Below are 14,749 nucleotides of genomic sequence, written 5' to 3'. Positions count from 1 at the left end.
CCTTGAGAATAATACATATGTGCTGCTTTTATAATTTTTACATTAACAGTGATTTATATAAATACTCAATACATTTCAATAAATACTTAACATTAATGCTCAGGCTTTATGTCCCAATTTTTTTTTTAGACAAAAAGTAAACATTGGGTCATATTTATTATACACTTTTTTGTCAGGTTTAAACTAAAATACAATCTCATTTGAAATTTAATAAAGTATTTTCACACTCCAGAAATTAAAAGATCAAAATGACATAGAGAAAAGCATTTCTCAATGTTTTCATTTGTCATATTTATGATTCCTTATTAATTGTCACTGCCTCTCCATTTAAAAGAAAGCCTGACTTGATTTTGCATATATTGCTACACAGATTATTTATCTTCATATTATAGTAGATCTTAAAGAACTGGTTCTCAAATTTGTTATGTATAGCAATTACCTGTGTTGTATGCTTAAAAGGCAGATTTCTGGACCAGCCTCAGCGCCGCCCCCCCACCCCCAAAATTATAATTCAGTAAGTCTGAGAGAACTCTTCATATTTTCAGGCATCCCAGGAAGCTCACTGAATTAGTTCGGTAGGATTGTCATTACAAATACCACAGACCATGTGGATTAAGGAACACAAATTTATTTTCTCACAAGTCAAGAAGCCGGATTTTCAAGGTTTTGGCCAGGTTGATCTTTTTTTCCCCCCGAGGCCTCTCTCCTTGAGTTGTCAATGGCTGTTTTCTCCCTCTGTCTCACATAGTCTTTCCCCTGTAGAATATAGACCATATCTTTTCATTCTTAGTTGATTGTGTGATTCCCAAATTGATAACCATCAAAATCAATTTAGAAGTTTGCTTTTGAAGAAAAAAATTATGAAAAAATATCCCTGTTATTTTGATTCAGTAGATGCAGTCTGGGGCTGATGGTTCCATATTTTTAAGAACTCCAGGTACTTATAATCAGGCTCATCGTACTTACGACAAGATGATGATACAGCCTTTCACCATCTTTGTAAGGAAATAATGGGCTGATTTTGAGTGGCAAAAAGATGACACCAGGGAAAAACATGGGAATGAAGACATTTATTTCCATTAACAAAAAATGTGGTATATAATATTTCCATTGGAAAAGGGCTCCTCTAGTACATTTCATGTCTCTAACTTCCAGCTAGGTAATTAAAATGACATATTTGATAAATTGGTCAAATCAGATTTCAGCAAAACTTAGGTTTTTTGGGAATTGGTAAAATTTAGAACTAGAGAAACTGCTGTTGGAATTATATAGGGGAAATGTATTTCATTGAGGCCTAAAGAAAAAAATTCCATCTAGAAAGTACTATGTGTTTTCAACTTATGTCAGTGCATGGGAATGTGTATATCTGCAGGTTACCACCACAGCCGTAGTCTCTAGTTTCCCTGTGAATTGGTTTCATTCTGATAAGATAATGAAATTGTATGGTACAATGTTTAATTCTAATTCTGGTGTTCAGGTGAATGACTTGGTAATCAGTATCAGGAGAATATAGGTAATTCTCTTTAAAAGTAAGAACTTCGTTTTGAAAATATAAATTACCAAGATATACAAAGGAGCTTTCACATTGTATTTCATGCAATGTGTGGATTTTTCTTCAACTTTTCACTTCTCCCTTCCATACTGGGTTCTTGACCTAGAAATTGTGGGTAGAAAAACTTAATTAGCGAACCAATATTGTAGAAAACGGTGGTTCTTTATTTTCAGTGAGTTGATTTTCCTGCTCGTGTGTGGAACATTGCTGGTGTGTTTAGTAATTGTTAGGAAAATAAATACTGAATATTCAGATGCTTTTTTAAATTTTATTTTATCCTGGACCTGTAACTTTGTACCTAATAATTTTTTTCTTCCTCTTTAGCTTAATAGGCCTTATATTTTGAAGCGGCTTTTAGTTTAAACTGCTAATTTCTGGAGTTGGGAAATATCTTTGACCATTCTTGTTCCATTATTGCTCTTGTCTTCTGGTGTAAGAGAGAGCCAAATGCTGACATGGGTTAACAGGGATCAAAAAAATCTTATTTTCTTTTAGATAATATTTTATTACATATTAGCTTTTTCCAAATCTCCAGATTGGAACCCTTACCTGCTCTACAACTCCCATTTCCCAAGTTTGATGTACTAGCAGTCTCACTGTGCCACAGCCAGCTATGAGTCCAAATTCCTGAAGCAATGTTAGGGTTCCACAAAGTTTTCTTAAAATATCAGCATTATTTGTCAAGATAAGTTTTTATCTTTGTGTAGCTTTTCTTAAAAAGTCCTATTTTCATTGTCATGTACTTTTCCATCATTTTTCTGCTTTTGAAAGAAAATACGTTACACTACAGATAATATTCTAATTATTTAAAGTCTTTCTTCACAGGACCCTCTAATTCCATCTGTTCTTATGTCATTCCCCAGTCCCTATAACAAAGGCATCTGAAATGCAGGGGGAGGCTGAGTAGTTTGTTCCCGACCACAAAGCAAACTGAACACATTCAGTCATATACCAATAGCAATCTGGTTGTCTGTTTCTAAAATCCTTAAGGTGCTTTTTTTTTTTTTTTGTATTGTCTATTTTTTCTTCCCTGGCCCTGCCCTGAGGGTGGGGCCCCTAGTCAAGGTGCAGTACTTTGGCAGTGACAGCATGGGCACCTAAAACCCCAAGAGAAAATTTAGCCTTCCAGCCAGAGAAATCAGGAAAGGTGGGCAGAGGGGAGAATTGGAATTACATTTTTCTCTTTCTTATCTCTAACTTTCTTGGAGAGATTGGGCAACTGCAGTCTCACAGAACTGCAATTACAGCACAGGTGTCATTAATAAGCTCCATCATTCTAGCTAGAACACCAGGAAAAAGGACCCTTGGCGGCTCGAGAGTATGGAGAAATCCCAGAGAGGTGACAGCTGGAAAAGAGTTATTTCCTAGTTCTGTGTATGAAGTGACACAAATTCCAGGCTCACCTCTGAATTGTGCATGCACAGAACCAGATACAAAACAGATGGCAAAGGCGTTGACAGCTAAACTAAGGCATAAACCACAACCAAGTCCCAGGCTGAATACAGACCCAAAACAGCATAACAGAAGCTTTGAAAACTGAACCAATATTGGAATGGCTTCCCACAGAAAGTAAGAGAGAACTGGTTCAATCTAATCAAGATGGTTGCCTGCTTTTAAAAAATGCACCAGAGAATTTTAACAGGACCCAGAGGCTCACAACATAATATTCAAAATGTCCAAGACACAATTCAGAATTACTTGATATATGAAAAACCAGGAATTACTTGATATACAAAAGAAGGAATTTGACCAATTCCCCAGTTTTCAAGGGAAAAGACAATGGATGCCAACACTAAGATAACCAAGATGTTGAAATTATCAGATGAAGACCTTAAAGCAGCTATGCTTCATGAGGTGGTCATAAACATTCTTGAAATGAATATAAAGATAGATGTTCTCAACAAAGAAAAGCTATAAAAACCCAATGGAGAGAGGAGGTGGAGCAAGATGGCCAAATAGAACCCTCCAGCTATCAGCCCCCACCACCACAGGAACACCAAATTAAACAACTGTCTACACTAGAAAGCACCTTAATAAGAACCAAAAATCCGGTGAGCAATTACAGTACTTGGTTTTAACATCATAGCAAGGAAAGAGACACTGAAGAGGGTAGGAAAAATAGTCTTGAATTGCCAACCTGGTCTCTTCCCCCATCTCCCAGCAGTGGCTGCTCGTGCAGAGAGAGAATCTGTGTGCTTAGGAAAAGAAGTAGACAGTGACTGTGGCACTTTGCATTGTAACTCAGTGCTACTTGTCACAGTAGAAAGCAACACAGGGCAGAATTCAGCCAGGACCACAGAAGGGAGCATTTAGACCAGCTCTTGCCAGAGAGAAATCATCCATCCCAGTGGGCAGAATCTGAGCTCTGACTAGTCTCAACACCACAGGCTAAAGTGATCTAGGGTTCGAAATAAATTTGAAAGGCAGTTTAGGCCACAAACACTGAGGGTCCTGGGCAAGTCCTGTGCTGTGCTGGGCTTGGAGCCAGTGGACATGTAGTGCACATGACCTAGTGAGACACCAGCTGGGGTGACCAGGGGAGTGCTTGTGGCACCCCTCCCCCAATCTCAGGCAGCACAACTCCAGGAAAGACTCCTCCTTTCTGCTTGAGTAGAGAAGAGGGGAGCATAAACTTGGAAAGCAACTCAGTTGGAAAGCAGCTCACCCACAGTAGAACAGGGCATCAGGCAGAGTCATGAGGCCTCCATTTCAGGCCCTAGCTTCTGGGCATTTCTAGACACGCCCTGGGCCAGAAGGGAATCTACTGCTTTGAAGGGAAGGACTCAGTCCTGGCAGTATTCATCACCTACTGACTAAAGCATGCTTGAGCCTTGAATAAACATCAACAGTAGCCAAGCAGTACTTGCTGTGGGCCTTGGGTTGAGACCCAGAGCTGTGCTGGCTTCAGGTATGACCCAGCACATTCCTAGCTGTGGTGGCCATAGGGAGAGACTTTTGCTTAAGGAAAGGAAAGGGAAGAGTAAAGGAGACTTTGTCTTGCAGCTTGGGAACCAGTTTGGCCACAGTGGGGTAGAACACCAAGCAGGGCCTTGTGGTTCCCAATTCTAGACCTTGGTTCCTGGATGGCATTTCTGGACCCACCTTGGGTCAGAGGGGCGCCCCTTACCCTAAATGGAGAGACCCAGGCCTGGCAGTATTCACCACAAACTGATTGAAGAGCCCTTGGGCCTTGAGTGAACATCAGTGGTAGCCGGGCAGTACTTGCCACAGGACTAGGGTGGTGGTAGTCATGGGGAGAAACTCCTGCCTGAGGAATGAATGGGAAGGGCTTTGCCTTACACCTTGGGTGCCAGCTCAGCTGCAGTAGAATAGAGCACCAAATAGATTGCTGAGGTTCCTAACTCCAGGCCCTGGCTCCTGGATGGCATTTCTTGATTCACTCTGGTCTGGTGTGGAGGAGCTCACCAATCTGAAGGGAAGGACACAAGCTTGGCTGGATTAGCCATTTGCCAAATCATGAGCCCTTGAGCCTTGAGTGAACATCAGCGGTACCCAGACAATGGTCACCATGGGCATTGGCCAAGACTCAGTGCTGTGCTGGCTCCAGGTATGACCCAGCAAGCACAGTCATGGTGGTTGTGGCACAGGAGTGCTTATGTCCACCCCTCCCCCAGCTCCAGGCAGCTCAGCACACACACACAGAGAGAGAGAGAGGAGGTGGGGAGAGACTCCATTTGTTGGGGGGAAAGTAAGGGAAGAGAACAAGAGTCTCTGCCTGGTAATCCAAGACATTCTTTTAGATCTTACCCAAGACCATCAAGGCAGTACTCTACAAGTCTTCAAGAGTCACAGTGTTCCTGGGCCCATGTGCCCCCTAATGTATATATGGCTGCAGTGACCAACGACTTAGATCAGAATACTCAATTCTTTTTGAAGACTGGGAAAACCTTTCCAAGAAGGATGGGTACAAACAAACACATACTGTGAAGACTAGATTAAGTACCTAACTCTTTAATGCCCAGACATCAACAAACATAAGTATTAGGAACATACAGGTAAATATGACCTTACAAAATGAACTAAATAAAGCACCAGTGACCAATTCTGGAGTGACAAACGTGTTAACTTTCAGACGGTAAATTCAAAATAGCCATTTCTAGGAAGCTCAGTGAAAATCAAGAAAACACAGAGAAGGAATTCAGAATCCCATCACATAATTTAACAAAGAGATTGAAATAATTTTTTAAAGTCAAGCAGAAATTCTGGACCTGAAAAATTGACATTCTGAAGGATATATCAGAATCTCTCAATAGGGCAGAATTGATCAAGCAGAAGAAAGGATTAGTGAGCTTGAAGACAGGCTATTTGAAGATGCACAGAGGAGACAAAAGAAGAAAGAATAAAAAGGAATGAAGCACACCTACAATATCTTGAAAAAAAGCCTCCAAAGAGCAAATCTAAGAGTTACTAGTCTTAAAGAGAAGGTAGACAGAGATATCAATGTAGAAAGTTTATTCAAAGGAATAACAGAGAACTTTCCAAATCTAGAGAAAGATATAAATATTCAAGTACAAAAGGTTATAGAACACCAAGCAGATTTCACTCAAAGAAGACTACTTCAAGGCACTTAATATTCTAACTCCCAAGGATGGGATAAAGAAATTATCCTAAAAGCAGCAAGAGAAAAGCAACAAACAAAATACAAAGGAGCTCCAATACATTTGCCAGCAGACTTCTCAGTGGAAACCTTACAGGCCAGGGGAGCATGACATATTTAATGTGCAGACGGCAAAATACTTTCCTCCTAGAATAGTATATCCAGTGAAAATATCCTTCAAACATGGAGGAGACATACTTTCCTAAACAAACAAAAGCTGGGGGATTTCATCAATACCAGACCTGTCCTAAAAGAAATGCTAAAGAGAGTTCTTCAATCTGATAGAAAAGGACATTAATGAGCTATAAGAAGTCATCTTATCTCTTTGGGACAAAACTCACTGGTGGTAATAGACAAAACAGAATATTATAACACCGTAAATTGTGGTGTGTAAACTACTTATATCTTAAATAGAAAGATTAAAAGATGAACCAATCAAAAATAACTACAACTTTTCAAGACATAGACAGTATAAGAAGATAGAAATAACAAATTTAAAAGTGTGGGTACATAGTTAAAGTATAGAGCTATTATTAGTTTCTGTTTGCTTGTTTTTGCAGTCAACGTTAAGTTGTCATCAGTTTAAGATAATGGGTTATAAGATGTTATTTGAAAACTTAATGGTATTTCAAATTTAAAAAACCTACAACATACACAAAAAATAAAAAGCAAGAAATTAAAGATACCACCAGAGAAAATCACCTTCACAAAAAAGACAAGAAAGAAGGTAGGAAGGAAGAGAAGACCACAAAACAATGAGAAAACAAGTAACAAAATGGCAGTAGTAAGTCCTTATCAATAATACATTGAATATAAATGGACTAAACTCATCAATCAAAAGATATAGAGTGGCTGAAAGGATAAAAAACAAGACTCACTGATCTGTTGCCTACAAGAAACATACTTCACGTATAAAGACAGACATAGACTAAAACTAAAGAGATGGAAACAGATATTCCACAAATAGAAATCTAAAATCAGGAGTAGTTATATCAGACAAAATAGATTTCAAGTCAAAAATTATAAAAAGAAAGGTCATTATATAATGATGAAAGGGTCAATTCAGCAAGAAGTACAATTGCAAATATATATAATATATATGCACCCAATGCTGGGGTACCCATGTATGTAAAGCAAATATTATTATAGCTAAAGGGAGAGATAGACCCCAGTACAATAATAGCTAGAAACATCAACACCCCATTTTCAGCCAGACAGAAAATCAACAAACATCGGACATAATCTGCACCATAGACCAAATGAACCTAATAGAAATTTACAGAACATTTCATTCAGCATCTACAGAATACACATTTTTTCCTTCAGAACATGGATTATTTTCAAGGACAGACCATATGTAAGGCCACAAAACAACTCTTTAAAACATTAAAAAAAAATTGAAGTAATATCAAGCATCATCTCCAACCACAATGGAATAAAACTAGAAATCAGTAACAAGAGGAACTTTGGAAACTATACAAACACATGGAAATTAAACAAAATGCTCCTGAATGACCAGTGGGTCAATGAATAAACTAAAAAGGAAATTTAAAAATTTCTTGAAACAAATCAAAATGGCAATTCAAGAGACCAAAATCTATGAGATACAGCAAAAGCAGTACTAACAGGAAAGTTTATACCAATAAGCATCTACATCAGAAAAGTAGAAAAGTTTCAAATAAACAACCTAATGATGCATCATAAAGAACTAAAAAAGCAAGAACAAACCAAACCCAAAATTAGTAGAAGAAACAATAAAGGTCATAGCAGAAATAAATGAAATTTAAATTTAAAAAAATACAAAAGATTATTGAAACAAAAAGTTTTTTGAAAAAATAAGCCAGGCATGGTGGCTCACACCTGTAATCCCAATACATTGGGAGTCCGAGGCAGGTGGATCACTTGAGGTCAGGAGTTCGAGACCAGCCTGGCCAACATGGTGAAACCCTGTCTCTACTAAAAATACAAAAATGAGCCAGCCGTGGTGGCACACACCTGTAATCCCAGGTACTTGGGAGGCTGAGGCAGGAGAATCGCTTGAACCCGGGAGGTGGAGGTTGCAGTGAGCTGAGATTGTGCCACTGCACTCCAGTCTGGGTGACAGACTGAGACTCCATCTCAAAAATAAAAAAAAAAAGAAAAAGAAAAAAGAAAATCAACAAACCTTTACTCAGACTAAGAAAAAAAGAAGGCTCAAATATATACTATCAGAGATTTAAAAGGAGACATTACAACTGATACCACAGAAATTAAAAGGATAATTAGAGACTACTATGAGCAACTATATGCCAATAAATTGGAAAATTGAGAAGAAATAGATAAATTTCTAGACACATACAACCTACCAAGATGAAACCATGAAAAATCCAAAACCTGAATAGGCCAATAATAAATAATGAGTTCAAAGCCATAATAAAAAGTCTCCCAGCAAAGAAGAGCCTGGGACCCAATGGCTTCACTGCTGAATTCTATCAAATGTTTAAAGAAGGACTAATACCAATCCTACTAAGATGATTCAAAAAATAGAGGAGGAGTAAATACTTCCAAAGTCATTCTGCAGTGCTAGTATTACCTTGATAACAAAACTAACAAAGACACATTTTTAAAAACTACAAGCCAATATCTCTGATGAACATTGATGTAAAACTCCTCAACAAAATACTAACAAACAAAATTCAACAACATATTAGATTATCCAACGTGATCAAGTGGGATTTATCATCCCTGGGATACAAGGATGACTCAACATATGTAAATCAATCAATGTAATACATTGTACCAATAGAATGAAGAACAATAGTTATATGATCATTTCAATTGATGCTGAAAAAGCATTTGATAAAATTCAGCATCGCTTCATTACCTGAAACTATGAAACTATGGAACTACTCCAAGAAAACATTGGGAAAACTCTCCAAGACATTGGTCTAGACAAAAATGTTTTGAGTAAGACACAAGCACAGGCAACCAAAGCAAAAATAAACAAATGGGATCGCATTAAGTTAAAAATCTTCTGCACAACAAAGGAAACAATCATTAAAGTGAAGAGACAACCCACAGAATGGGAGAAAATATTTGCAAACTACACATCTGACAAGGAATTAATAACCAGATGTATAAGGAGTTCAATAACTCAATAGGAAACAAATCTAATAAAACAACTAAAAATGGGCAAAATATCTGAATAGACATTTCTCAAAAGAAGACATACAAATGGCAAACAGGCATATGAAAAGATGCTCAACATCACTGATCATCAGAGAAATGCAGATCAAAACTACAAGGTGATATCATCTCACCCCATTTAAAATGGCTTATATTCAAAAGACAGGCAATAACCAAGCTGGCAAGGATATAGAGAAAAGGGAACCTTCATACACTGTTAGTGGGAATGTAAATTAGTAGAGCAACTATAGAGAACAGGATGAAGGCTCCTTAAAAAAAGAAAAATAGAACTACCATATGACCCAGCAATCCCACTGCTAGGTATATACCCCAAAGAAAGGAAATCAGTGTACTAAAGAGATATTTGCACTCCTATGTTTATAACAACACTATTCACAATAGCCAAGAGAAAAAGAGAGTGCAAGGGAAACTGCCAGTTTTAAACCATCAGATCTTGTGAGAACTCATTATCATAAGAACAGCATGGGAGAAACTGCCCCCATGATCCAATCACCTCCCACCAGATCCCTCCCTCAACACCTGGGAATTACAATCTGAGATGAGCTTTGGGTGAGGACACAGAGCCAAACCATATCATTCCACTCCTGGCCCCTCCCAAATCTCATATCCGTTTCACATTTCAAAACCTATCATGCCTTCCCAACAGTCCCTCAAATTCTTAACTCATTTCAGCATTAACCCAAAACTCCAAGAGCAAAGTCTCATATGAGACAAGGCAAGTCCCTTCTGCCTGTGAGCCTGTAAAATCAAAGATTAGTTACTTCCAAGATACAATGGGGGTACAGGCATTGGGTAAATACAGCCATTCAAAATGGGAGAAATTGGCCAAAACAAAGGGGCTACGGGATCCATGCAAGCTTGAAAGCCAACAAGGCAATTATTAAATCTTAAAGCTCCAAAATAATCTTCTTTGACTCCATGTCTCACATCCAGGGCACACTGATGCAAGGGGTGGGCTCCCAGGGCCATGAACAGCTCCACCCCTGTGACTCTGCAGGGTACATCCCCTGCGGCTGCTTTCATGGGCTGGCATTAAGTGCCTGTGGCATTTCCAGACACATGGTGCAAGCTGTGGGTGGATCTACCATTCTGGGTTCTGGAGGATGGTGGTTCTCTTCTCACAGCTCCACTAGGCAGTGCCAGTGGGAACTCTGTGTGGGGGCTCTAACCCTACATTTCCCCTCTGCATTGCCCTAGTCGAGGTTCTCCATTAGGGCTCTACCCCTAGAGCAGACTTCTGGCTGGACATCCAGGCATTTTCATACATTCTCTAAAATCTAGGCAGAGGTTCTCAAACCTCAATTCTTGTCTTCTGCACACCTGCAGGCTCAACACCTCATGGAAGCCATCAAGGCTTGGGGCTTCTACCTTCTGAAGCACCAACCTGAGCTGTACCTCAACCCCTTTTAGCCACTGCTGGAGCTGGCACAGCTGGGACAGAGGGCACCATGTCTTGAGGCTGCACAGAGCAGTGGGGCCCTGGGTCCAGCCCACAAAACTATTTTTCCCTCCTAGGCCTCCAGGCCTGTGATAAAAGGGGCTGCCTTGAAAATTTCTGACATGCCCTGGAGACATTTTCCCCATTGTCTTGGTGATTAACATTTGGCTTCTTGTTTCTTATGCAAATTTCTGCAGCCAGCTTGAATTTGTCCCCAGAAAATGGGTTTTCTTTTCTACCACATGGTCAGGCTGCAAATTTTCCAAACCTCTATGCTCTGCTTCCTTTTTACACATAAGTTCCAATTTCAAACCATCTCTTTGTGAATGCATATGACTGTATACTTTTAGAAAAAGCCAGGTCACATCTTGAACACTGTGCTGCTTAGAAGTTTCTTCTGCCAGATACCCTAAATTATCTCTCTCACGTTCAAAATTCCACAGATCTCTAGGATGGGGCAAAATGCCACAAGTCTCTTTGCTAAAGCATAGCATGAATGACTCTTACTCGAGTTCCCAACAAGTTCCTCATCTCTATTGGAGACCACCTAGCCTGGACTTCATTGTCCATATCTCTATCAGCATTTTGGTCAAAACTATTCAATAAGTCTCTAGAAAGTTCCAAACTTTCCCACATCTTTTTGTCTTCTTCTGAGACCTCCAACCTGTTCCACCCTCTGCCCGTTGCCCAGTTCCAAAGTTGCTTTATAGCAGGACCCGACTCTGCCAATACCAATTCTTGTATTAGTCCATTTTCACACTGCTATAAAGATACTACCTGAGACTAGGTAATTTATCAAAGAAAGAGGTTTAACTGACTCACAGTTGTGCATGGCTACAGAAGCCTCAGGAAACTTACAATCATGACAGAAGGTGAAGGGGAAGCAAGACACGTCTTCACAAGGTGGCAGGAAAGAGAGAGCACAGGGAAAATGGCCACTTTAAAACCATCAGATCTCATGAGAACTCCCTCAGTATCAGGAGAACAGCATGGGGCAAACCGGCCCCATGATCCAATTGCCTCCTACCAGGTCCCTACCTCAACATTTGGGGATTACGATTCGAGATGAGATTCGGGTGGGAAAACAGCCAAACCATATCACTACCAATGAACAATGGAATTCAAATGTTACAGAATATCATTTACCAGCAACAAAAATTTAAATACCTATAAATCAAAATGTGTGCCAATGCTGTATGCTGAAACAAAGTACTATGAAAGAAATCAAGGACAGCCCAAATGTACCAATATATTGCATTCTTCAACTGGAAGACTCAATATTATGATGTCAGTTCTTCCTGAACTAATCAACAGATTCGACATAATCCAGTCAAAGTCTCAGGAGGATTGTTCTCTGGATGGCAACAGGATGATTCTAAAATTTAGAATGAAAGGCAAAGAAACTAGACTAGTCCAAACGATTTTGAAAAAGAAAAGAGCAAAGAACAAACTAATCCTCCTAATTTCAAGAATTACTACGAAGTTATAGTAATAGTAAGTGTGGCAAAAGGGTAGGAACATATATCATTGGAAATTAATCCGTACAAAAATGGTCAACAGATTTTTACAAATGTTGCAAAGACAATTCAATGGAGAAGCATTTATTTTTATTTTTACTTTTTAGAGAAAGGGTCTCACTCTTGCCCTTTCACATTGTGCATTGACACAGTCATAGTGCACTGCAACCTTGAACTTCTGGCTGCCTCACCCTCCCAAGTAGCTAGGACTACAGGCATGTGCTACCATACCCAGCATTTTTTTTTTTTTTTTTTTTTTTTTTTTTGTAGAAACGAAGTCTCCCTATGTTGCCCAGGATGCTCTCAAAGTGATCCTCCTGCCTTGTCCTCCCAAAGTGCTGGGATTATAGGTGTGGGCTGCCCTGTTCAGTGGGATAATCTTTTTAAACAAATGGGGCTGGAACAATTACCCATCTAAATGCAACTAAATGAACCTTGACACATCCCTCCCAGTTTAAAAATAATTCAAAATGTATCATAGATCTAAATGTGAAACATGAAATCACAGCACTTCTAAAAGAAAACAGGAAAATAGTCTTTGTGATTTTAGGTTAGGCAGAGTTCTCAGGTATAACACCAAAGTACAATCTACAGAAGCAAAATTTAAAACTTCTGCTCTCCTAAAGACACTGTTAAAAAAATGAAAAGACAAATCACCCACTAAGAAAATACTTCCCAATCACACACATGCACACACACAAAAAGCTTGTATCGGTTCAGAGCTCTCAAAACAAGCATGAAAGAAAAAACAACCCAATAAAAATATGGGCAAAAGATTTAAATAGATACTTTCCCAGATAAAATATATAATGGCAAATAACATATAAAAAGATGCTCAACATTATTATTCAGTAGGGTTATATTTTAAGTGACAAGTTTAAAAATTAGACAATGTAAAAAGAACATCAAAGATGAGAGTAAGAGAAATTCAGGAACCAATAATTTAGATGACAGAGAGTAAAAAACTGAGGGAAGACATTGTAGACATTTTTAAATATTTGATGGCCTTTTAAGTCGTATTGTTTCAAAGCCAGAAATTGGATTAATATGTAGAAGTTGAAGGAATGCTTCAGACTCAATATCAAGGAAGAATTCTCTAATATGAGAACTGTCCAGAAGTGAACTGTGCTGCTTCAAAAATCAAATTTAAGCCCTCTTACATTCACAATTTACAAACAAGCTGAAGGGGTCATATCCTAGAGATGTTTCCTGTACTGAATGTGCAGGTGAGTTCTAAACAGATAAGATACTATAATTTTCTAAAGTTCCTTCAGATCCTGAGAGTCTGTGGTTTTGGTTACTCTTATTATTTAGCATCACAATATTCATAATCATGTTTTAAGAACTTGGACTTTTAAACTTGCTATCCTTTTAATTAATAAGACTATCCAGATATGCCCCAATGCAGATAGCCAAATAAGGTTGCTTTCCCCCATAATCTGTAGAAAAAGAGACTTGTTTTGATAACTAAAATCCACACAAGCTGGAGATATTTTCTCTCTCCTGCTTACAGTTTGCCAGTGACCATGTGTACCAGGAACTGTTGCATAAGATAGAGAGAGACTATTACATTCAGCCTGGCTTGCTCTGCCAGAAGTTGGATTGCAAAGAGAGCCAGTTTCAAGGGTGTGTAAACTGTGCAGTTGCATAGGGTCTCATGCTCGGTTTGATGGTTTGCTATAACTGTTTTTGAAATTCTTAATTTATGAACAAGGGGCTGGCAAATTCTGTAGCTGGTCCTAGCTACAATCTTTATCTGTAATTCCTCACCACCCACTCATTCCTTGTTATTTTGCAATCTGACTTCTGCCTTCATAGTGGAATACAACTTCTCTCTCTCAAGTCATCTATTGGCTAATCACCAGTTTTCATCGTCTCTTCTTAATCTTCATTCATTTTATCCTGTATTACGCATCTAACGTTGTTGACAGACTATCCCTTTAAATTCCATTTGGTTTCCATTAACTTGTATGATTATGGTTTCCTCTTACCTCTGAATTTGTTAGATAAAGCTGAGTAGAATGATAGAATGAAGTTAATAGTAATACTACATACCTCAGGGTTTTCCATTCCCTAAAATGCACCCATACTCTGTTCATAATACATATTGGTACTTTCCTATTTTCACAGACTGAGTGACAAAATGATTTCCAAATGGATAAATTTAAAGACTGAACTACAGTTCCTGCCTGGCTGGTACTATCAATCATATGCAGAGTTTTGGGGATTTTGTTTTGTTTTGTTTTGTTTCCCTTAACATAGCAATGAAGTGAAAAACATACCAGTGTTTTCATCAGTTGAACATATAAATGGTCTTAAATTTCCTCGAGTCTCCTTCACAAAATAATCAATGACACTGAAAAGGTTTGGGAGTGTTACCTGTATTAATAGAGAGTGAGAGAAAACTCAGCATCACCTGCATAAGTATAGAGTAAGAG

At 38.6% G+C, this 14,749-nt stretch overlaps 1 protein-coding gene across 2 annotated transcripts in view; it reads right to left on the bottom strand.

Annotated features, from left to right (window-relative positions):
- Window positions 613-14,749, bottom strand: part of STAP1 (signal transducing adaptor family member 1) — a 48,611-nt gene continuing 34,474 nt past the window's right edge. The window contains exons 8-10 of one of the 2 annotated variants that reach the window (NM_001317769.2): window positions 14,594-14,690; window positions 1,561-1,654; window positions 613-756 (exon numbers count right to left, since the gene is read on the bottom strand). In NM_001317769.2, the coding sequence (NP_001304698.1) occupies window positions 1,593-1,654; window positions 14,594-14,690 (159 nt within the window). In that variant the 3' untranslated portion in view covers window positions 613-756; window positions 1,561-1,592. Of the gene's footprint in view, window positions 1,655-14,593; window positions 14,691-14,749 lie in introns of both variants that reach the window. The other variant, NM_012108.4, reaches the window with a different exon arrangement.

The sequence above is a fragment of the Homo sapiens genome, chromosome 4 (genome assembly GCF_000001405.40).
Source record: "Homo sapiens chromosome 4, GRCh38.p14 Primary Assembly".
Taxonomy (NCBI): domain Eukaryota; kingdom Metazoa; phylum Chordata; class Mammalia; order Primates; family Hominidae; genus Homo; species Homo sapiens.
Note: the sequence above shows the minus strand (reverse complement) of the source record. Positions and strands in the feature narration are given on the sequence as shown.